This window comes from Homo sapiens, chromosome 4, assembly GCF_000001405.40.
Source record: "Homo sapiens chromosome 4, GRCh38.p14 Primary Assembly".
Taxonomy (NCBI): domain Eukaryota; kingdom Metazoa; phylum Chordata; class Mammalia; order Primates; family Hominidae; genus Homo; species Homo sapiens.
In genome coordinates this window covers 54,536,586-54,560,827 of record NC_000004.12, presented here as the reverse complement: position 1 = coordinate 54,560,827, position 24,242 = coordinate 54,536,586, and the positions used below count along the sequence as shown (strand labels likewise).

The following is a 24,242-nucleotide window of genomic DNA, read 5'->3' as shown; positions in this document are numbered from 1 at the left end:
CCTGGACAAAAACTCTGATTGGTTCACCTTGGATCATTCCATTATGGTTGAAGTTTAGGGTCAGGATTTAGAAATATGATTGGCTTTGTTTGGGTCAGGTGACCCCCTCTGGAACAAACAACAGTGGCCATGGCTTTAGGATAACACTGGATCATGGTTAAATATGAAATATGTGAAAGTTGATTTAGATTTTAGTCATGAGGCAGGTGTGTTTGTGTGTGCTTTAAAGTATGTGTGTCCATATGAAGTATGTGTGTCCGTATGAAGTATGTGTGTCCGTATGAAGTATGTGTGTCCGTATGAAGTATGTGTGTTTGTGTGTGCTTTGCAGAAGAGAATAATAAAGAGAAGGCATAATTATAAAGTGAATCTAGGATCTCTTGGTAAAATCTTTATTAAACTTGCCTCATCATTCTTTCTTATTTTTGCCACTGTTATTCCATCATTCCAGACTCAACGAGGACCCTTGTATTCCCCCCCTCCACCCTTCATTTGAACTCTGGTTTCTCTTCCTGCTGCATATCCTCTGGACAGCCAATCACCCCCTTGACCTATTCAGATCCTAATTGAAAGTTTTTTCCTCTGTGGCTTCAAATAGAATTCACCAACTAATATCCTGTTGATGGAAGCTATAGACTTCAAGGAAAGGAGTTCCTGGAATTCATAAATGGAAAGAACAAAACAAAGCAGGGGGCCCTGTCTTTAGCACCTCCCCCACCAAGGGGAGTTCAAGAGCACCCCGAGGACTTCGCTGTTGTCAGTCAATCTTCCCCGCCATCTGTGCCTTTTGTTTATAATGTAGTTGATAAAAATCTGCTTTATTTATCCTAGCTGTTTCAAGTTCAATAATAAGGGGAAATTAGCTCCAGGACTTCCATGGTAGAGTCAATGGCCAGAACCCAAGCAGAATCCTTGGATGCTGTAGTCCCCACCGCTGCCTGCTCTGTGTTCCTGCTTGAAGTTTGTGGACAGTGGCTCTACCTGCTGCAGGGGCTCTGGGAACTGAGGCTGAGCTCAAAGATCACATGCAAATACTGCACGACCTAGAGGACTAAATTAAGCCAGTTATACCCTGCAACAAATCAGTGAAAGTAAAAAATCAAAACAATGCCTTAATGTTAGTAAAGTGCATATGTATTGATGCCCAGAGAGCATTGAATCCCTTCCCAAACCACCTAAGTGGTGAGGAATAGTTATTGCTCACCTTTACTGTCCTTCCTCTCAGCCAGGCATATAGGTACAGGGAAGTAGGTGCTGTTGTTATTATCACCACTTGAGGGAATGGAGACTTGGAGAGGTCAAGTTGCTTGCCCAAATGTAAATTAACTAGTAAGTCATAGCTTAGGAACTTACTTCCAACCTGTCTGACTCCACTGCTTGACAAGTTAATCATTATACTATTCTGCGAAGTAGCTGGGGCCAATGAACTCCAATCAAGCTATGACGTTTCATGGTCATATAAATTACCAACTAGGGAAGGTATTGTTGTGTGTCTGCCCTTTCACTCTCACTAGAAGATAAACTCCAAGAAGGCAAGGTCTTTGACTACCTTTTTCACTGCAGAATCTCCAGTGATGAGACACATAGACATGTTCAATAAATGGCTACTACAAATGAATGAATGAATGGATGGATGGATGGATGGATGGAATTGCTATATGGTGTAGTAATTTCTGATTTATTTATGGATGTTTGTCTGGGGGATCTGAGAGCAGCCACACTTTCTCATTTCCCTCACTCCTCCCAGCAGAGAACAGGATGTCCATTGTTGGGGAAAACTCCAGCTTGGCATTGATGCCAATTTTTTTCCCCATACAAATACCTTTGATTTATTTCACAAACAGTTACTGAGTTCCTGCTAGGTGCTAGGTTCTATATCAGGTGAAGAGGATATAAAGGTGAACTAGGTCTAGTACAGATTCTCACAGAACTTACAGTCTACTTGGGGCAGTATAGAAGCAAACAGGCAATTACAATTCAATGTGACGAGTGTCATGGTGGACAAGTCTGGGTGCTCTTGGAGGATCACAGAGGAGGATACCTAATCCTTCTCTGGCTGTCAGGCAGGGAAGGTAGACGGGAGGCAATCTGAGAAAGCTTCCTGGAAGATGTGGTCTGAGGACATGTAGGGTTTGAGCAGGTGAATTATCCAATCGTGAATGAAATAGGAAGTATTTGATTTTTTGAAACCACAACTTTCTCTGTGAAAAATTATATAATATCTGTTCTATATTTTGAGTGCTACTTCTAAATAACCTCCTAGTCATGACATGGCATCTCCATCTCATGTCAGAATGGAATCAGGAAGGAGGACATCTGACAGTTGTGTGTTTTATACCTTCCAGCTCTTGAGCAGAACTTCAATGCCTTTCTGTGAACCAAGGTGAGTGTTTGGGGCACCCTAAAAATGGCCCAATTGTCACAATGGCTCCTGGATGTGAACATGAAAAGCACATGCAGGGATGGCTGAACCCTGGCCTGGGGGTGGGGCAGAGCTACAAAGTGGGAGAGAGATGTCCCAGCAGCTGGCAGACAAGAGGAGGAGAAGAGGAAAGGGGTCCAGAGAGGTGGACAAGGTATGTCTGACCAGCCTAGCAGTGGACAATGGATAAAGAGCTGGAGGTCTGCAGGGCCCAGCTTATGGGGATTGAAGTGAATGGGGGACCTGGCTAAGCAGGTGGGACATGGAAACAGGTGGGATTTGAAGACACTGGGCTTGGGTGTCAAGAGCACATCTCTAATCTCTGGAAGGGCTCAGAGAGGGGCCTGCTACATGCCATAACATAGACTCTGTCCTATCCAAAGACACCTAGGTTGGAGGGTGCATGGGGGCTGAAATCCAGCCCACTATCTACTCTCCAAGCTGGGGGCCTGTGAGGCTGCGTGCACTCTGAGGGGGCACTTTCGTTTGCACATACACACCATTTAGGCTAGCAGAGCCCTGCAGATGCACCATGTCAATACTTAAAGGTCAAAAAGGGACTCTATTTCTAGAAAGAAATGAGATACAGAGAAGGATGGGGTAAGAAGGAAGAAGGCAAGAGCTTAAACCCTGGAACCCAAGCACAAAATCATTGTTGACTATTTGGCTCACTATTTAATCCCCAGCACCTAGAACAGGGCCTGGCAAAGAGTTCAATAAGTATTTGTTGAATGAATGAATGAATATCCAGAGAAGTATTAAGGCTCAGGGACTAGGAATGAGGCCACTCACAGATGGTGGTGAAGCGGTCCCATCTGCCATGGGCAGAAAGCCAAGCAAGCATTACCCCTCCCCAGGTCCTGTTTTTAGCCTGGGGAGACAGGACGCAGAATGGGGCTGGTGACAGTGGCTCTGCCCATCAGCTACCAGCCTGAGGGTGTACCTCATTGTCCTGGAGATTTTCACTGCCTGGGGCATTACAGGAGAGTGTCATGTTTTACAGGCTTTGGAGTCCCAAAAAAGCCAAACCTAGCTCTCTCCATGGAACCCTAGGCAAGTCCCTCTCTGAGTTTCTGTTTCCTTATCCATAAAATGTGAAGAATAATAGGGACAGGGTCTCACTCTGTCACCCAGGCTGGAGTACAGTGGTGCAATCATGGCTCACTGCAGCCTGGACCTCTCCAGGCTCAGGTGATCCTCCCACCTCAGCCTCCTGAGTAGCTGGGACCACAGGTGTGCACCACCAGGCTTGGCTAATTTTTGTATTTTTTGTAGAGACAGGGTTTTTGCCTGGGCTCAAGCGATCTGCCTGCCTCAGCCTCCCAAAGTGCTAGAATTACAGGTGGGAGCCACCATGCCCAGCCAGGGTCTACATTTGAATTGCCTGTGTTTGAACCTCAACTCTGCCGCTTTCTAGCTAGCGAATTCTCTCTGCCCCTCAGTCTCCTCATTTGTAATAACAGAATAATAAAAGTAGTTCTATCACAGGGTCATCATGAGCATTAAGTAAGTAAATGCAAAGCACTGAGAACAGTGCCTGGCACAGCCAACATCACCATCATCAATGTTATCACTACTGCCTCAAAGGGCAGACAATAAACATTCACCACTGTGCCTGCCACTGGGCAGCTCCCTCACACCTGCTGCATTCCTATGGTAACTATCCAATGTCCCGCCTCTGTGAATTCACCACAGGTCACAAATGTGCCCTTCATTTGTCCAGCCCCATTGATAAGAGGGCATGAGAAGCTGAAGGTACAGAATGCTGCTGACAGACCCTGCTCCTGACCGGAAAGTGGGTCTGAATTCAGATTTTGATCCATTTGTCTGTCTCCTAGGGGATGAAGCTGAGATTTTTTATTTTTTTTTTGATACCTACAGTCAAGCTGTAGCCTTGGTAGCAAATCCTTTCCCTCTCATGAAGCATGGGCAGCATAAGTATTATTAGTTTCCATTTTCTTTTTTAAAAAATGCTTTTAATTTTTGGAAAAAAATTTACTTTATTTTTTATAAAACAGAGACAGGGGCTCACTATGTTGGCCAGGCTGGCCTTGAACTCCTGGCCTCAAGTAATCCTCTTTCTTCTAGCTTCCCAAAGTGCTGGGATTATAAACATGAGCCACTGAGCCCAGCCTTATTTCCTATTTTCTGGGGGGCACTTGTGGTTAAGAGAAGTGAGGTCACTCCACCAGGGCAGGGACACACCCATTTCATGGGCCACTGTATCTCAGTGCCTTCTGCTATGCCTGGCAAGTGATAGCTACTCAGAAAGGTGAGAGGAACAGAAAAGTGAATGCAACCTGTCCAAGGCCCGGTGCTGTAAGAACCACACTTGAAACCTGAATCCAGCTCTTCTGGATCCCACCCTTTCTTTTCCTACACTGTACTCTACCTTAGATTTAAAGGATCTAAGTTTAGGGTTGCTTTGGTTTTTTTGGTTTTTGGCAATTTTTATTGTGGTAAAAAACACACAACATAAAATTTACCATCTTAACCATTTTTATGTGTACAGTTCAATAGTATAAAGTACATTCACATTGTAAAGCACAGTGGTCTGACTTTTTGAAATTTAATATATAACAAAATTTACATCTATTGCTCAGTAACTCATGAAAATGTTGAGTAGTTGACATTTTAAATCCCTTGTCAGCGTGGGGTTGGTTTTCCTTCTACTAAAGTTTTTCAGGTAAAAATGCTAAATAGTCAGCTCTAGCTCATGTTTAAAAACATCAAGGAAAAAAGCAGAAAGATTTCATTCTACATTTGGGTTTTGCAGACACAGGACCATACGTTTACAAAATAGAATATCTGATCCAAATTTCACTCTGTAGTAGGAACTAAATAGAAAGTCTGGTGGAATTTCTCCAAATTCTTCACATCAAGGAAAACACTCCTAGTGTTCTCTTTTAATGAAAGAAAAACACTCTGAGCATATTTTAATAGTTTTATTTTCTATTTTTAATACTTTCTAGGTGACAATGAATTTCCTTTTTTCTGGTTTTTAGAAAGTTTTAATCCGATTACCAAAAAAATGCACATTGGAAATTAACAAATGTGTGACTAAGAAAAGTATATTTAATCCAACTATTGAGATAATCATCGTTACACATTCTTCTAGAACTTTCCTTGAAAATAAAAATAAATAAATGTATATTTCAGTATAATTTGGTACCCATTCTTCTAGGCCTTTTCTCTGAAAATACTTACACACAAAGACATATATATTTCATATATAATTTGGTATACACTCTTTTAGATTTTCCCCTTCATATTATACATTTACTTAATAGTAATGAGTGACTATATTATATATACTCTTGCAAACTTGCATTTTTTATCTAAATGCCTTAGAATGTCTTTCTCCACAGAACATGGATCTGTTTGAACACCTGAATGGCATTTCATTGTTAGTACCATCAGGCATCTATCAGATCGCATCATGACAGACATGGGGGATATTTCCAGATTTCTGCTTGTCCTCTGGACACTGCAGTGATTGTGGAGGCCACAGCATTGTGACACTTCTCTTGAGCCTCCCATTTCCTTGCCATTGCCCCAGCTCCCTGGAGCACCTGCTGAGTGGCTCTGGCGTGTGTTCCCTGGCCTTCTGGGCCTCCATACTCTCACCTCTCCAAGGAGGGTGGGAATTCTTGCCAACTTCTTCCCTCAGGGCTGTCGTGAGCACTAATGAGATCATATTTGCTGAGCACTTTGTGTTCCCTCAATAACTGGTGATACATAAATATGAATGTTTTCAGTTCCAACAGAGTCTTTGGATTCCTTTCAGGAAGAAGTGAGGGCCTATTTAAAATGTGTGTGTTGGTATAAATACTACAGCGAGTCCTTTGTATTCTACAAGATGCTGCCGAGAGTGGAAAGCTCGTCCCATTGCCAACATCAGGGGGTCAGGTGCAGGTTACTTCCTGCGTCCTGGTGGCCAAGTGGCCAGGGAAACAAGAGGTTGTGAGGTGAGGGCTGCACGTAAGGATGATATCAATCACCCGTGATTTTAGGCAGAAACATTCCTTTTCTGGCTTTCTAAGCTGTTTTCATGCTTATCTACTCAATAGCCAATCACCGAGTGTCTACAATGTGCCAGGGAAGAAGCCGAGTCAATCCAGCCAGGAGGGCACCGTTTCTACCTTCAGAGGCTTGCCATTTAATGTACAACCCAGATAGCATCTGTGGCCTCATGCCGTTTGAGAGAGAGGTAAGAGCAGGGTTCCAATTCCCAAATCCATGCCCCCAAAAGTCCGCAGGCCTCCAGATGTTGTGCAAGCCCATCATTGAGAATTTGTGTGGTTGGACCAGTGGTTAATGTTAGCCCCTACCTTTAGCTCCACAAGCCCCCATCGCCCCAATGTATTTGCGAGTTTGAACAGCTTAACTAAACATTGTGGAGGGGGGTGGTGGGAACAAAATTTACATCACAGAACAGCAAAAATCTTCAGATGATGACAACTAGCACTTAAATGGTGCTTACTTGCCCTATGACAAGCTCTGATGGAAGCCCTTGGCGTTGTTCACTTACACAACTCTCCTGATAATTCTACGAAGCAGATACTATCATTATCCCATTTTGAGAAAATATGGGACCATGTGAAACTAAATTTTCTCATCTTTAAAATAGCAATACTGAGGGCTCCTCTCCGTATCCCTTCAGCCCTCACCACTTCAGCACACGCTGGCCCAACTTCCCGCTGCCACCATAGCTTTGCCTGAGAGCTTTCTCTGCCCTTGTGTGGCAGGCAGGACCTGCTGGGGAATTACTGTCCCCTGGAAGTGACCCTCAACCAATGACAGATGGGAGTTGGCATACAATGGCCCCAGCTCCCTCACCCCTTGAGTGTGATAATTCAGAGGCATGATTCTACCTGTGTCCCCAGTTTCCCTGGAGGGCTTACACTCCAGCTTCCACGCTGGTAACTTGCTTAGAAACATACGCTTCTTGGCCACTTCCCTTTCCATCTGACTTTTCCATTCCCTATGCATATTTCCTGAAATCACCTCAGAAAGATCTACCCGCCCTCAAATGGTTATTTCGGGTCTGCTTCTGGCGAAAGAGACCCTAAAATGCTGATGCATGTGGCAAGGTCACACAGCTCTCTGGATTCAAATCCAGGGAGTCTTACTTTGCAGTCTACAATATTTCCCATTACATCACATGGTCTCTCAACTCCAAACTGAATGTGAAGCATGCCTCTTAAATGTATTCCTCACCGCAGAGGAATGTACAAGGCCCTCAATCCCTCTCTTCCAATAAATATTGTAACAGCTACCATTTTTCTAGTGACAGTTATTTGCCAGCCACATGCTAACTGTGTTACTTGAACAGCCTCATTCTAATATCACAACAAACCTGTAAGAGAGAAACGTTCTTATTCATCTCTGCTTTCTGGATGATATAACTGAGACCCAGAGAATTGAAGTGGTTTGCCCAAGGTCGCATGGAAACAGAGCCAGGATTTGCACACATATCTTTCTGGATCCACCCATATCCTCACCTAGTATACTACATACCATAGTGGAAAATGTGGTGCCAGGCACTTTATGGCCAATATGTTAGTTCCCTATTGCCGTTACAGCAAGTTACCACAAACCTAGTGCCTTAAACACTGCAAATATTTTATAGTTATCGGAAATCAGATTTCTGTATGTCAGAAATCCAACACAGGTCTCTCTGGGCTAAAACCAAGATGTTGGCGTGGTTGTGTTTCTTTCTGGAGGCTTTAGGGGATAATCTGTTTTCTCTGCCTTTTTCCACTTCCAGAGGCTGCCCATATTCCACCTTCAAAGCCAGCAAAGTCACATCTCTCTGATCTCCTTCTATAGCCACATCTCTCTCTGATCACAGTACAGAAGGGTTCTCCACTTTTAAGAACTCATGTGAAGTGAGTGCACCCACCCAGAAAACCCAACATAATCTCCCCATCTCAGAGTCATTAACCTCAATTACATCTGCACAGTCTCTTTTACCACATAAGGTAACATCTTCACAGGTTCTAGGGATCAGGATATGGACATCTTTAGGGGTCCTGTTATTTTGCCTACCACAGCTAAGTCCTAATGAAGGAGGCAGGCTACCATGAGGAGGTGAGCTGAGTTTTGCGAAGATGAAGGTAATGTAGAAGAATAAACAAACTGTCTCTTGTAGAATAATGAAGACTCTTCCCTGATTTGTAGCCATGCTAGACTGAGCTAATTGTGGACAAAGGGAGCCGTAAGGAGAAGATCTTGAGAACCAGATGGAAAGCAATTCTAGACAAGTCATCGGTTTGGGACAGAGACATTTGTGTGGGAATGCTTAGTCTCTCACCAAGGGGAGCCTCTTGTATGTGTGCAGTGCTTTTGCCTTCAGGCAACAGAATAGTTGATGTACAGTAGGCCACATTACCAAGATACTACATTATCCCACATTTGGAGAAGTCTAGAGGCAGATGTCCCATGGTCCCAGATGATTTTTTGGGTTTGTTTTTTTGAGACCAGGTCTCCCTCTGCCACCCAGTCTGGAGTGCAGTGGTATGGTCATGGCTTACTGCAATCTTGGCCTCCTGGGCTCAAGTGATCCTCCCACTTCAGCCTCCCGAGTAGCTGGGACCACAGGTACATACCACCACATCCAGCTAATTTTTTTTTTTTTTTTGGTAGAGATGGGGCTTCACCATGTTGCCTAGGCCACTCTCAAACTTCTGGGCACAAGCAATCCACCTGCTTCAGCCTCCCAAAGTACTGGGATTACAGGCATGAGCCACTGTGCCCAACTCCATTTGGTTTTTTAACAAATTCAGCAAGGATCCTGGCTTTCTGTGTTTAGTTCTGCCATCTTCAGTGTAAAGCTACATTTCTCCTCATGGTCACAAGACGGTTGTCTAAGTATAAAGTATCACAGTTTCATATTATTATATATCAGCCTAAGCAGGAAGAAAGGAGGGTTGGTTACGGGAAAGGACCCTCTCTTTATGGACCTCTTTCTTATCAGGGAGAAAGGCTTTCCCAGAAGCACCCATGGATCTTTTTTTTCATCTCACGCCAGATCAGATGCCCACAAGTAAATCAATCACTGGCAAAGGGGAAGGAGATGACCGTGATCGGCTTAGATCAACTATTGCTCTTTGCCTGGGGCTAGACACGTTGCCACTTGGACAAAACTGGAGTTCTATTAGCAAGAAAGAAGTGGCTATGACTCTTCTTCCATAGCCTAGGAAGCAATATTTGAGGTCTATTCTAGGTAGGTGTGCAGGACCACATTACCTCTCAGGGCATTTTCCTCACTCTCCACCAAGAACTCCACTCAGAACAAACTTGCCAACATATCCCTGCAATGTACTTGTCACCTCCTTTTCTTCCTTTCTTTCATTGGGGGCTTATTGTTTATAAGCTGTGCTACCTTTCACAAGTTACTTAACCTCTCTGAACCTGAACCTTGATATTTTCATTGGAATATCTTGCCTCTAGAGTTGTTTTAGGGCTAAAGTCATATGACAAACGTGAAAGCACCTAGCCGGGTACCTGACACATATAAAATGTGAAATAAATGTTGGCTAAATACTAACAATACCGGGGTTTTATTTATGCACATGATCAGGCTCTAAATTCTTACAAGGAAGAACACATGGAAATATTTTGGAGTCTACACTGTGAGCAGACAATCTGTTGTAAATTCTTATTGTGTGGGTCCCCTTTGTCCATCATGCCGATGAAAACTCACTGGGCCGTTGAGAAGAATCTGCTTGTGCCTGCTATTCCAAGCAGTTTGGTAAGGGAGAGAGAATCCTGCTTGCGCAACAGGCTGTCAGGGCCGGAAAGTGGCAGCAGGACAGAGGATTCAGGGCTGATAAAAGCTGGTATGGGTCAAACTTGACGTCTGAGGGTGTGTCCCTGAGGGGGCTCACAGGTGCTCTTCACCTTACCCAGGTGATCCCTGTCCATGGGGCCAGCTGTGTGCCTGGGGCCAGACAGCCCTTATCCTCCTTCCTATTTCAACCTCAGGACCTACTTCTGAGAGGAAATTGGGCGACTAAATTGAACTACAGGGAGGAGAAAAAGAAAAAGGCAGGAGAATCTCTACTAGGCCATATTTATTATTGATAAAGGTGATTTCATTTCTATACATACTCCATGTTCTGTCCCCCTCCAAAACAAACAATCTCAGGACAACAGACACACACATGTAAACTAAACTCACCACCTCGTCTGAGTAACATATCAAGACCAGTGACTCCTATATCCCCCTCCAAAAACAACAATCTCAGGACAACATACACACACATGTAAACTAAACTCACCACCGTGTCTGAGTAACATATCAAGACTGGTGACTCCTCTTCTTAGCGCCTTCTCCTGCGAGGTAGACAGAGCCTTGCTTCATGAAATAAGGTCCTGGGCCAGCAGCGTAGCAGCATTGGCCACCCCAGGGAGCTTGTTAGAAATGCAAAATCTCAGGGCCCTCTGCACCCCCTACATCTAAGCCTACAATTTAACCAGATCCCCAGGATGAATATGCACCTTTAAGTTTGAGAAGCTCTGATCTATAGTTCCCTGCTGCCAACTTACCTTACCACTGAGGATGGTACGTCGTTGTAGAACTTGGCAGTTTAGAACACTTCCCAGTGGGCACTCACTCTTGTTCTCTGGGTCTCTTCTTTATTCCACAGTTATGATCATAATCCTATTGCCCATAAAGAGCCACTGTTTGGGTGTTTGCTAATTATATACATGTATACACATGGTTTCATACATAGAATCATTTTATAATCTGTGCATGGTATTCTATTTGTATAGAAGTGATCTCACTTATTTAGCCAGTTCTCAACCAAGCTTTGAATGACAGAGTAGGCAGAGTAGACTCTTTGCACCTGAAAGAGGACAAACAATTTTATTCATATCCATACTTATTTCTTTAGACGGATTCCTGAAAGTAAGATGACTTCACTTCATTCTCAAGTTATGAGAAGATGGAAAAACAACAAGGTTACCCAGTAGTTAGATAAGACCCTTGCCTTTAGCGGAAGGCCCTCACTTCCTACTTCTGAGCCGGGCGGTGGGAGTTATTTTCCTTTTCCCCCAGAGCAGTGACATCCTGGAGTGAATTTCAGCCTCCCCTTCCTAGGCAGGGCAAGAGATAAAGAGGCAGCTGCTGAGATGCGGTTGCTGATCAGCTTGAGGAGAATCAGATCACGCATGTGCACGTTATCTCAGGACAACATTAGATTAGCCTTGCATGCAAGGATCACAGGATCTTGAACTCTTGGAGTTGAACGGGTTTTTGAGTTTGACCTCCCACCTGTCACAGGAGCCCCTCAACAACCTACCGCCCCAATAGGTAAAGTGTTCACTGTGTGCATAGCAGGCTCCCCCTTCCCTCGGCTGTCCCAGTCCTCCTCCAGTGCTTTCTTGCACAACTTGGAACCCAGACCCCTCACTACCCCAATGCATACTTTCTGGGGTAAGTCAGCCCCCCTCTTACCTGTAACTCAGACTGGTCACTGGGGAGACAGCCTATATGGCATCTTACTGTCCTGAGAAAAGCATACCTAATTGAAAACAGTAGGACTGAATCTCATAGCTGCTGTTGGGAAAGGGTACCCACCTGAGCCCATTGGCATGGCAACTTCTCTATCTACACTGTCCCAGGGCAAGGAAGAGCAAATCACTGCTCTGGCCAAATGCACCCACGAGCCAACAGCTAAGGGTGGTTTTACATTCCAAATGATGGAGAATGAAAGGAAAAGAAGGGAAGAGAAGGAAGAAAGGGAGAAAGAACATGTAACAGAGGCTGGATGTGGCCCTCAAAGCTTAAAATATTTACTATCTCACCCTTTCCAGAAAAAAAGTCTGCTGATTTCTTCCCTAGATCCTTCACGGACCAGTAGCAGCATTGACATTATTTGGGAGCTGCTTAGAATTGCAGGGTTTCTGGCACAGCCCTGGAGCTCCTGAATGAGAACATGCATTTTGACGAAAGCCCCACGTGATCTGAATGAGCCCTGAAGTTTGGGAAGACTAGCCTGGATGTTTCTCAGTATGACTGGGTTTGGTTGTTTTCAGGGGCAGGCTCTCAGTCTGAACTTCCCTCACTCCACCACTGCCTTGCTGAGTGGCTGAAGTCATTTAGTCTTTATCAAGCCCTGTTTGCTCATCTCTGAAATGGGGATAATCATAGTTTCCACCTGATGAGGTTTTTGTGAGGCTTGAATTGGATAACTGAACCCAGAGAAAGGGCTTCACAAATGTTAGATTTCATTTCTACTCTATTGTTTCTATCAAACCCTTGAGTCTCTGCCTCAGAACAGGGGACATATGCTTTGCATAAATACCCCAAACTCTTGCACTGATGGATTTGGGTGTTTCCTCAGAAGCCCAGCTATGCAAATCCTCTGAGTCAGCAGGTAAGAAGGACAAGGGCAAGCCCATACCCTGCCCTGCCTGTATCTGGCGGTTTTTTTTCAACACCAGGAGACGGAAATGATTGCTTTCTGATTGGGGAAAATTGGTTTGTGTGGGCCACAGTTACAGGTGCTTGTTTCCTTGAGACACAGTGCTTGGATCAAACTGAAACAAGGTTAAAATAAAATAGCAAAACCCTGCCCTCAGCAGGAAGCTGCCACCAGCAGGCTGCCTTCTACGTGACCTTGCCTCCTGTTGGCCTTTCCTGGGCCATAAAAAATGGTTGCATTGCTGTCTGATTTGCATTTGGTATCTGCTTTTCCTGCCCAGGGTTCAAGTTGACACTGCCTGGCTGAGTCCCAGCTGAGGGCAGGTGGAAGCAGAAGGCAGAAGGAAAGGTGGACAACTATTTAAACAACCAGGGGCTTGGAGAAGCTGTGTGCTTTCAAGATAGAACTCGGTTTCAGTTTAGATTTGCCAACTGTTGCTTCGGAAGAAGAGCTAAGACAAAGGGAGGACTCTGTCCACTCGGGAGGTCCTGGGGGGGACAGTGTTTATTTTATACTACAGCCTGGGGTTTGCTTCCTGTTTGACTTTGAGAGCTGCTAGACAGGATTAATGAAGTTCATCCAAATATTTTCAAGGATATAGGCTCTAGAAAAGGTGTTTGTCCCTAAGCACTGTTTACTTTAATCATACGTGTACAATTCACAGCAAGTTATCTCAACACAACGCTATTCCCCTATTGTTGCTTTATGGACTTTGACTTCTCAAGGGTGAACTGGGTAATTTTAAAATCATGACTATTTTTATCAGTATGAAAATTTTACATAAATTGTATAAAGAATACATCATTTAAAATTTATATGCATACACACAGACACACACACACGCACAGAGAGCGAAAGAGAGAGAGTGCGCACTAGCACAATAGCGGACATTTCACCACTTAGTTTTAAGACCATTAGGCAAGCTGGAAGGAGACTTGGCATGGTGGCAAGATCACAGTGGAGTCTGCATATCTGAGTTCTAGCTTGGGCTCTTCCACTAACTAGTAATGTGGCCATACATAGTCCCTTAACCTCTCCGTGGACCTCAGTTCCCTCATGTGTAAGATTAAAGTAGCCGGTATCACCAGGGATGCATTGAGCTCCAAGACCTCCATTGGCTGGCAGGGAGGGCTGCCACAGCAAGTCAGGGTAGGGTAGAGGGGAGGTTCAGCCTTCTCTGCCCCCTTCAGCCTGGACAACTCTCCCTTTTTTTGTTTTACACATTAGAGATCAGGAGTAAGTATCCCTTTCAAGAAGTGGTCTTCAAGGCTAAACAAAAACTTGAAAAAAAAAACTAGCCTAGACGATCCCTAAAGTAGGGTGATCATATATAATTTATTATCCACACTGGGATGTTTTGAGATTAAATATATGTTCTTAATAATTACACTGGGATAACAGACTTAAGTGATGCCATATTAGACAGAGATGTACGAGTACCCTACCACAAACTCCTCTTCCAGCTCAGAGTTTCTGCTTTTCCATTCTGTCATTTCATGGCCTGACTGCTTACTCCTCAGCATCAGGCAGAGTTCTGGGAGCAACCCCAGGGACAGAAGTAATCAGGGACAGCCTCAGGGAATGAAGTCATTAGGGGATTGCCTTGGGGACAGCAGTCATCAGGGCAGCTCCAAGGACAGAAGCCATCAGGTTTGTCCCATGCTCAATTACCAGAGCATGCAGCTGCAAGAAATGAGCCAAAAAGGCCACCTGGAAATGATACATGGCCCAAGTTCAGCTTGGCTCTTGTTCAGAGTCATGTGAGAATCACAAGTTTCAGGGTGAAAACATCCATGAATCAACCACCAATTACCCAGTAAGCAAGGGCCCACAGGAACCCCAGACCAGGACATGAGTATTGGTGGGGAAAGAATAAGCAAACATCCCTAATCACGGATCCACAGAACGGAGGAATTAGTCAATGGAGGAGAAGGTCACAAGGTAGAAATGAAAGTTACATTACTAGGCAGGTTGTCAGATGAAGTATGGTCCCAAAGTAGAAAAATCCTAGCAGGATTTCTGCAGAGGAAAAAACACTCAGGCAGGACAGGACCTGTAAGGACCCGTAATCTTGTCAGGCATAGCTTGGGCCTGGTTGAGTCAGATCATTCACTTTCCTAACCTTTGCTTACCCATCAGATTGCGCTGCTGTGATGTCCTACCTAGTTTTTCTGCTCTGGGAATGTTCCTTGCAACAAAATCACCTTTCCTTCCCTCCTGCTTGCTAATAGGGAAGTTTATAGCAGAGTGACCCAGTGATGAGAAGGCTGATGATGTAATGAGTTATACCAAAGTATATAAAAGGTAAAGCTGAAAGGCCTAGAGGCAGCTCTGCTTGCCTCTGGGTGCTCATTTACCTTCAGTTATCTTTTATTGGATGCTTTTTAGCTGGCCAATATGGCTAGGAACTCTTCGGCTAGGAAGGGAACGTAGTTTTGCATTCTATTCTGGGCTTCCCTACTTACCAGGCCCTACGTGACATTGGGCAACTATTGTAATGTATATGAGTCTCGTTTTTCTCATCTGTACAATGGGGTTTTACCAAGACTTGCTCTGCCTACCTCACAAGACTGTAACAAGTATCCCCCAGGTGTCATCATTAGCCCACTCTCTCACATCCACCCTCCTCAATCCCATGCCCAGAAGCCTTCTGCAATTCCTTTGGGGTTCCATTCTCATGGAAACCCTGGCTCCACTCATACTCTATCCTCCTTACATCCCACTCCTGGGGCTGTCCTCCTCCTCTGCTTCCGGTTGTGAATCTCTTCTCTTTTCCCTTCATTTTCGCACAAAACAACTCACTGCACATATGTTAATAAGTCAGATTTCACTGACTGGGAAACAGAAGGGCTTCCCATTGCCACACTGTAAACAACAAAAAGTTAAATATTGGACTTTCATTTCTGAACCACCTTGCCCATTTCTGTCAGCGCAGGCATCTGCCTCCTACTATAAGTCATGCCTCATGCCTCCTCCCTCTTCTCAGCTCTCACTAGCATAGAAACATTTTTCAGAGAATCATTTTGCAGCACACTTCAGCTGCTCCAACTCCTATTCTCAAACTCAACTCTGGCTTCTCTTGACATCTCCAAAGGTTCATTAATGTGCTTGGCTAAATGATGTGGCACACTCTACTGCGTGGTTTAAATAAGAAAAGATTTCTCTTCTTTTAGGATGGAAAAGCGTCCAACATAGGAACTGAGTTGGGATCCAAGGGCTGGGAGGGCCCCATGTGCTAAGCCCAGGGAGAATCTGTTGACCAAGGGCAAAAGCATCCCTCCGAGCTACTGGCAAACTGATGGAGATCCAGTGTGGGAAGAGAAAGAAGGGGGCTGATCTGTGCCCTCCATGAGGGTGGGTGGCCGGCTACTCCAAGGTATCAATTTAAATCTCCAACTACCTTGAAGGCAGAGGACACCTGAGTGGAGGCGCCCAAGGTTAGGAAAGTGCATTTCTAGAGGCTCCAAGGCTCTTGCCTCTATTCTTCAATAAACTCTCTCCTTAATACTATAAGAGCTGCGTGGTGGGGGTTCCCTTCCTCCTCCTTCTAGCATCACAGCCAAAACCCAAACCCTTCTAGAGTCCTGCTCTCAAGAGAAAAAAGAGGAATTCTTTGTGTGATAGGGGCGGGGACACACGGAGCTTTTCGCCGGGCCCCCATTGACTCATTATGTCACTGCAAACAAGAAAATGTGTTTGAAAGCTCTTTGAAAACTGGAACATGGAATAGAAGGATGGAAGCATTTAATTAGTAATCATCGCTCAGGTGAGATTGATCCTGGCTTGATGCTATACCAGACAAAGGGCCCAGGGAGCTCCTGGTATTCTATCAGGTGTGAAGGGAAGAAATGAAGCCAGTTATTACAGCTCCACTGTAACTAATCAAAATGAGAATACGCAGGGCAGGGAGGTACAGTAGATTGGTGCTGCAGCCAGAGGTCTTATATAAATGCTAACAAGGCAAGAATGGGATTTGGGCTGGCAGAGGCCGCAGAGAGCAGAAGCTGCTGCTCTCATTTCCTCGGACAGCAGCACAGTCTCACTTTAATTTGCAGATGTTTTAAGCTCTAGGTGCAGGCACCTGGAGGGCAGAAGGGAAGCAGCTGTCACCTAATGGATGTAATTGATTAAAACTGAAATTCACATGGACTTCTCCAGTTTCAGATATACCACTCTCTGTTTTGTGCACTCCTGTTTCATTCACTCCTTATTCCTGAAGTTTTTGCTAGGAGAGATTCTATGTCAGAAATGACAAAGGACTTCTCAGCCAAATGTGGTACATTCAGAGGTCAGTGCCTGTAAGAATGGACTTCAGAGCAGAGCAGATCAGGTTTAAGTCCTAGCTGTGTTATCGTGAGCACATATAGCTTCTTTAAGCCTCAGTTTTCTCATCTGTAAAATGGGGCTAATGATAATAGCCAGGGTTTCTATAGGGATTAAAACACATAAATAAAGGTTCAGTTCAGGGCTTGGCATATAGAAGATGCTCAGTACATGCTAGCTATTATTATCATTATCATCGTCATCATCATCATTTCTTGGTTACTTCTTTATGTGGTCATGCTAAACAGTGAACTTCAACCAAGAGTGGCTTAGCAGGGAATGTAGGTTACATAGTTGGCTGCACTGTCATAGGCTTTACTTTCTTCTCTTAGAAAACAAAGCATCCTTTGAAGAAGGAATTGCTTTAGTTTCCCATGGGAAGTAATTTCTACAACCCACAAGTAAATGCAGTCTAATGACTAGAATGTGACAGTAGCTATAAAGAATGAAATGTTCCACAAACAGTACTGCCTCCTAAAATTACTCGATCTCAGCACTGTGTTTAGGTCCTCTCTTCCCCACCCATCTTTTTGCATCTACCTCTCATCCTCCCACCCACCCCACTTCTCCCCTATCCCATCCTTTTGGGATCATAAGACCCACCCACCCATCCCCAAATCCCTGAAGAATGTGGGAGTGTCTTGAGGTTCAGGGTAAAGCTGAAAGGCCTAGAGGCAGCTCTGCTTTTTCAGAATGGCCTGGGGGAGGGGGTGGGGTCTTGATGGCAGCAAGAGGCGGTTTGCCAATAGGCAAACCGGTAGACCATGCCTCATGCATTTTCAGGAAAACATCATTTAATCTCAGAACATCTGCAACAGTCTGCAACATATTTTCTCCAGGGTTTGAGTCTAAGCTGACAAAAGATACCGGACACCCCCACAGATTCTGTGACATATCTTGGTATTATTGAACAAACATCAGTTAGGTTCCTGTCTCAGTGCAGCGTCAGTCTGAATAGGAAATACGCCAGTGCTCTTATCGTTGCTGACAGACTCTGTAACTCACCTGCTGATAGTGTCAGTAACACAGCTTCCAGTTGGGGGAGGCTCTTCTCCCACTTCTTTGAAAGCATTGTTCTCAGGTAGGCAAAATAATTAAGGTGCTTTTTGAGTTTATGCTTACTTTTTCACAGTAAGCAAGAATTCCATGATCAAGGCAATGTACCTTGCAGACACATAATAAATGTCAATGAATTCAACACATTTTGAAACACACCCAGGGCTCATTTTTCCACTGCTTACACTTTCTTTCTGCCCCCTCAATCATCACATCTCCAAGTCTAAAAAAAGTGTCAGATTTAATGCCTTCATTTTATGGATAAAGAGATGAAGGCCACGACATTATAAATTATTTCATTGTAAACATACAGACAAATAGTAGTCAAGCAGAGCCGAAAGCCCTGGATTTAAGATGCATGAATCAGAGCTTTTCCTATCATATCTCACTTAAATGCCATTCATTTCTTTACTTGTTTTGAAAATGAATCTTATCCCTGTATTTGTTCTGTCTTCTAAATTAGAAACCACATACATCACGAGACATCTTTTGTTTGACCCTTGAAGTTTGAAAATATTTTCTGAATTAGTTAACATTTTTCAAAAACGAGGTTTTTCTGAAACATTTGCATTTCTGGCTTCTCTTAAAATGTGGACTATCTGGCAACACTGGGCTTGCATTCTTGCAAGGCAACACTCCGCTGGAGCTGGGAGGCAATTGTCTCCTTCCGATAGGACTTGCACCCTACAGCTTGCTGCAGCGCCTACCACTCCCTGCTGTCTCACATCCAGCCTGCTTTACTCCTTTATCTCCCTTGCTGCTGTAAGCATTTGAACAGGACCAGGACCCTGAGTTGAAAATATGACCAACAATTTCACGGATATTATTGCTCCAATGTAGATAGCATCTGGGGCCTCCCTACTCCTTGGGAGCTGCCTGAAATTCCCCTGAATCCTTAATTCCGTGGCCTGAAAAATATCCAAAGACTTCCCCAGTAGTTGTGTGAATAGTCATGGATTTATATTCTCATGGTTTTCTTTGCCTCTAGCTCCTACGGTTTTGACCCATGACATTTTTAAAGGATCCAGATTCTTCCTTGATCTCCTCCTTTTACCCCAGGCAGTTCGAGATAATGAGTGGATCTGGGGGGTGGGGAGTGTTACGGAGTAAATATTTTAACAGCACTGCTCATAGCAGATATAACTTACAAATTCATCCTCCATGGAGATTTTTCTCCAGCCTTTTGTCCATGCAGGATCCTGCCATTCTTACTCCTTTCCTACTCCAGTGCCCCCACCACCTCTACTTCAAACTTCCCCCTTTAAATAAAGCAGACAAATACAGCCTCCTCTCAAAGGTGCCGTTGCAAACCCATCAAGGTGCTTGAAGAGCAAAGGCCTCTTCCCTGTTAATATTGTCCATGTCTCTTTCTGAAAAGTCAGGATTCTGGACAGCAAATGTTGTACAGTGACACTTCTAAGCATCCCCCACTGGGCACTGGTCTTTAAGGAAGTAAGTTCCCAGGCTCTTATTCCTGGTATGAATCGTATGAATCAGCCAGGTTCCCTAATTTTAGACATGTATAAATTGTGCAGTCTTAGATATCAGAAATCCTAATGGTTTATCTGTTTACATGTCCACCTCCCCCATTGTACCATAAGCCTCTTTATGTCCTATTTATCTTTAGGTTTTCCTTACCTACACAGTGGGGAGGTGTGAAGGGGAGGGTCAGGGAACAGGAAACACAGAGGAAGTATTCAATAAGCAATTGACGAAAAGGAAGGAAGGAGGAAAGGAAGATCAGTCACCTGGTATGGTTGTAGCTGTTGCTCACTGCACAAGGGCACCATCTGAGGGGGCAAACTAGTGCTGAAAGCTAGGCCACGCTCTACTCACCAAGCCAGGAGCCCTATGACTATTTGTGTCCTCCCACTTGGCTGTCCTTTCCCCATTTGCTGCCTGGTCCCAAAACGGACACTTTTGCTAATTTTCACAAGGTGCTATATGGATTGGGGATGGGGTAGGGGCTAAATGGAAAACATTTTGTCTAGGAAATGTGTATTTTTTTTTTTTTTTTTTTGAGACGGAGTCTCGCTCTGTCGCCCAGGCTGGAGTGCAGTGGCGGGATCTCGGCTCACTGCAAGCTCCGCCTCCCGGGTTCACGCCATTCTCCTGCCTCAGCCTCCCAAGTAGCTGGGACTACAGGCGCCCGCCACTACGCCCGGCTAATTTTTTGTATTTTTAGTAGAGACGGGGTTTCACCGTTTTAGCCGGGATGGTCTCGATCTCCTGACCTCGTGATCCGCCCGCCTCGGCCTCCCAAAGTGCTGGGATTACAGGCGTGAGCCACCGCGCCCGGCCGGAAATGTGTATTTTTATTTATTCATTTAGTCACCAGTATTACCTCAATTTGTTTCCACCTTAAGAAATTAGCCATAACTCTGTCAGGGTTTGTGGCAGTGGACTCTGAAGATGCGGGTGGGATCCTTTCCCTCCTCAAGGGAGTAGGAGCTACCTACGGCAAATAAACTCCCCGCATGTGAAGACACTGGAACATTTAGGCCAGAAAAAGAGATGAAATTCCTGATCCCCCTGGGTGCATATCTGAACCCCCATCCTGCAGCTGTGCACCTCAAAAAGCGCAGGAACGCAGCTCCAGCCTTCAGCCTTCAGCGTCCAGCGTTTGGGGAGAAGAGCTCTTAGCTGTCAGCCGCTCAGCCACGCCCCCAAGTCCCCGCGTTCAGCCTGTCACCTTCTATTACCCAGCTCTGGTTGGGGAAGAGCATCTGGCCAGAGTGTCTGCAGGCCCAGGGGGTGAATTTAGGTTGGATTTCAAAGCTGAGCTAAGCAATCTCTCAGCTGAGCTCAGTGCAGCGACCCTGTGCAATGAGCATGCAGCTGAGCCTGGGGACGTGGGCGTGGCGGAGGCGGCGTTTCCATGCCAGGGCTCAGCGCTGCGCCCTTGATGACCGCTCAGTGGCCGCCCTGCCGGCCAGGGACTTGCAGCCAGGAATCCTCTGGATGGCTCAGCGTGGAGCCCTTCCTTTAGCTGGAAGATGCTGCCCGAAGCACCAGGGAAGCAGCTAAGCACAAGCGGCTGATCCACTATTAGCTATTCCGCGAACCGTCATCATCTCCCTGTCTAGAGACGACACAAAGACTCCAGTGGCTTTCTCTTCTTAGCAAGCTGGGGCCCAGCCGAGGTCCCTCCAAGAAGACATAATCACAGAAGAGACTGCTTCAAAGCTATGCTCTCTCTCCTGTGAAGTGGTGAAGAACCCAGGACCAGGACTCTGATGGACTTGTGTTGCAGTGCTGGCTTTACCACATGCTAGCTGGTCACTAAGGATCCCTGGTCTCACTTCTTCCTTCTGTAAATGGGGCATGGCTATAATAGCTATTTTGAGGGCTCTTTAAAAATCAAGTGAGAAAAAGTGTTCAAAGCATTTAGCACAACAAGGTGTTAGTGGTCAGGTGGTGATGATGATATATAATTTTGACTCTTAAGTCAGTGACACATATCTGTATTCTCCTTCTCTAAGGCCTCAGCTAATCAAAGTGTAGTCCCTGGACCTGCAGCATAGGAATCATCCATTATCTGGGAGCTTGTTAGAAATGTAGAATCTTGGCCAGGCGTGGTGGCTTATGCCTGTAATCTCAGCACTATGGGAGGCAGGAGGATCACTTGAGGCCAGGAGTTCGAGACCAGTCTGGCCAACATGGTGAAACCCTGTCTCTATTAAAAATACAAAAATTAGCCAGGGGTGTTGGCCAGTGCCTTTAATCCCAGCTACTGAGGAGGCTGAGGCACAAGAATCACTTGAACCTGGGGGGTGGAGGTTGCAGTGAGCTGAGATCCCGTCACTGCACTCCAGCCTGGGTGACAGAGTGAGAAAATATCTCAAAATAAAAACAAACAAACAAAAAAACTAAACTTTGCTTTGCTGCAGACCTTCTAAATCAGAATATGCATTTTTAAAAGACACACAGATGGTTTGTATTCACATTTAAGTTTCAGAAGCCCTGGCCTAGAACATTCCAAGGACTTCAACCCATTTTAACCAATAATTAGCTGGTGTCTTAGGAGTCAATAGGAGCCAACTCTCCTTTAATAGCTGTAATATTTTCTCCAGGGCTACCCTCCAGTGGCACAGCATCTGTCTAGAGCTTTATCTCCTTCTTCCCATGGATGCCCTTAGAAGAAAGTGCTGAGGAGCAGAGAAATGACCAGATGGGGCAGATGGAAGGAAGGGGAAGAGGAGGAGCTGGAAGCCTGGATGATCACAGGCTGGCTTATCAGCCTCTTGCAACCTCCAGGTCTTCCCTCCTTCCATGCCTGTGAGAATAATGTGAGAAATCAAAAGGGTGAGGCCTAGAGAGTCTGAGGTCCAGACTCACCTGGATTTGTTTCTGCAATGCATGGAGACTCTGCTTTAGGGATCCTATTCCCTGATCCACTCTCACAGGCTCCTCAGGCTTCTGTGAGCCTGGTCCAAGGATAGCGCCATTCATTTGTTCATCAAACAAATACTTGCTGAATGTATGCTATGTGCTAGGTAAGGCCCAGTTTTCTACTCCCCAGGTTGGGCTCTTGCTATGCCATTAGTTAAACTATCACTCTCTGGGTGAAGTTGGGGATGTGATGGTAGTGGGATCCTTGGTGAAGAACAGTCCAGATCCCCGCTTCAAGCTGGGACTCTCATTGCCCCAGTTGCTGTCTGTGTTGGTGGCTGAAGTGCATCCAGCTTAGTCCTCTCTGGGAGGTCCTTGGTCACTGTCACACCCACACCCTGGGGCAGCCCCAGCTAAGTAAGAGCTGCTGGATGGGGATGGGGCAGTTGCCTCAAGGCAGAGCAATTCTGAAGGTCAGAGTGGTCAATCCGATCCACCGAGGCCTCCATTGTGACTATGTGACGGTTCAGTCTCTCTCGGTGTCCAGGCTGGCTTCTGTCACCACTCATGGGTATTGCTCCTAACTGCCCAGCAGACATGTGCCAACAATTCAGAGTCAGATTCTGTTTCCAGGGTATAGACTGAAGATAATGATATATTCTAAGTCCTTTCTGTGACTAAGTGCCTCTGGCTATGACAACAAAATACAGGCAACTATTTTGCTAAAATTTATATATTTGCATTTTTGGAAAAAAAAATCTCAAAGCCTATTAAAGAGCTGCTAGAGGAGATAGGTTTCCAGATGTGTTTACTTACTTTTTACAAATGTAAAAGCAATTTAAATTATGTGAATACAATTTCATTTTAAAAGAGGTAAACAATGCAGAAGAATACACAGGGAAACTTGAAAGTCCCCTTCATCTGAGTCTTCCTCCAATCAACTCCTTGCTCCCAGATAACCACTGTTGGACTGTATCATTCTACATAAACCTTTTGCTATTCATTTGCACACATACAAATATATATAAACATATTTTTAATATAAGGGAGATCAAGTTGCTTAAGATATTTGCTTATTGAAGTCTTAGATCTTTTTTAAAAAATCACTAAATATAGATCTGCCTAATGCTTTTAAATAGCTGTATAGTATTCCATAGCATGGATATATGATTTAGCCTTTTCCTGGGTGTGAGACTTCTGGTGCTCACCTATATCTAGTTCTTCTTTCCCTTGGACACATGAGAGAATTCTACTGTTTGTTTTATTGAAGCTATTTGGAGCCACATGACTAGCTCTAGCCGGTGGGTTGAGAGAAGAAGTGACTTGTATCACTTTTGCGTTCCAGTATTTCATTGCAGGTATAAGACCTTCTAGCCCTCTGTTCCCTGCCACAGTAAAGAAGGCCTCCTATTGAGATGATAAAGCCACAGGATCAAGAGAACCTGGATTGCTGAATCTTGACATGAATAGAGGTTGCCCCAGGAGTTGCCTAGATTCAGAGAAGACTTTGTAGAAAGTCTTTGTTAAGCCACTGATTTTTTATTTTTTAACTATAGCATAATCTAGTATATTCTGATGAAGGCACTCCCCTATTGGCCATTTAAATTGTTCCTAGTTTTTCACTATTAAGTAGAATGCTGTAATGAACATCCTTTATACACATCTCTGGGTAC

The 24,242-nt window shown here is 44.8% G+C and overlaps 2 annotated features.

Moving 5' to 3' along the window:
- Positions 17,730 to 18,341: a transcriptional cis regulatory region, noted in NCBI's record as "candidate enhancer chr4.1578 targeted for multiplex CRISPR interference". NCBI's record gives its function as "positively regulates KIT gene expression with high confidence in K562 cells {active_cell/tissue: K562}" and the evidence as "EXISTENCE:mutant phenotype evidence [ECO:0000015][PMID:30612741]".
- Positions 20,987 to 21,488: an enhancer, noted in NCBI's record as "H3K4me1 hESC enhancer chr4:55405507-55406008 (GRCh37/hg19 assembly coordinates)". NCBI's record gives its function as "activates a minimal SCP1, AML or CMV promoter by ChIP-STARR-seq in naive H9 embryonic stem cells {active_cell/tissue: H9 hESC(naive)}" and the evidence as "EXISTENCE:reporter gene assay evidence [ECO:0000049][PMID:30033119]".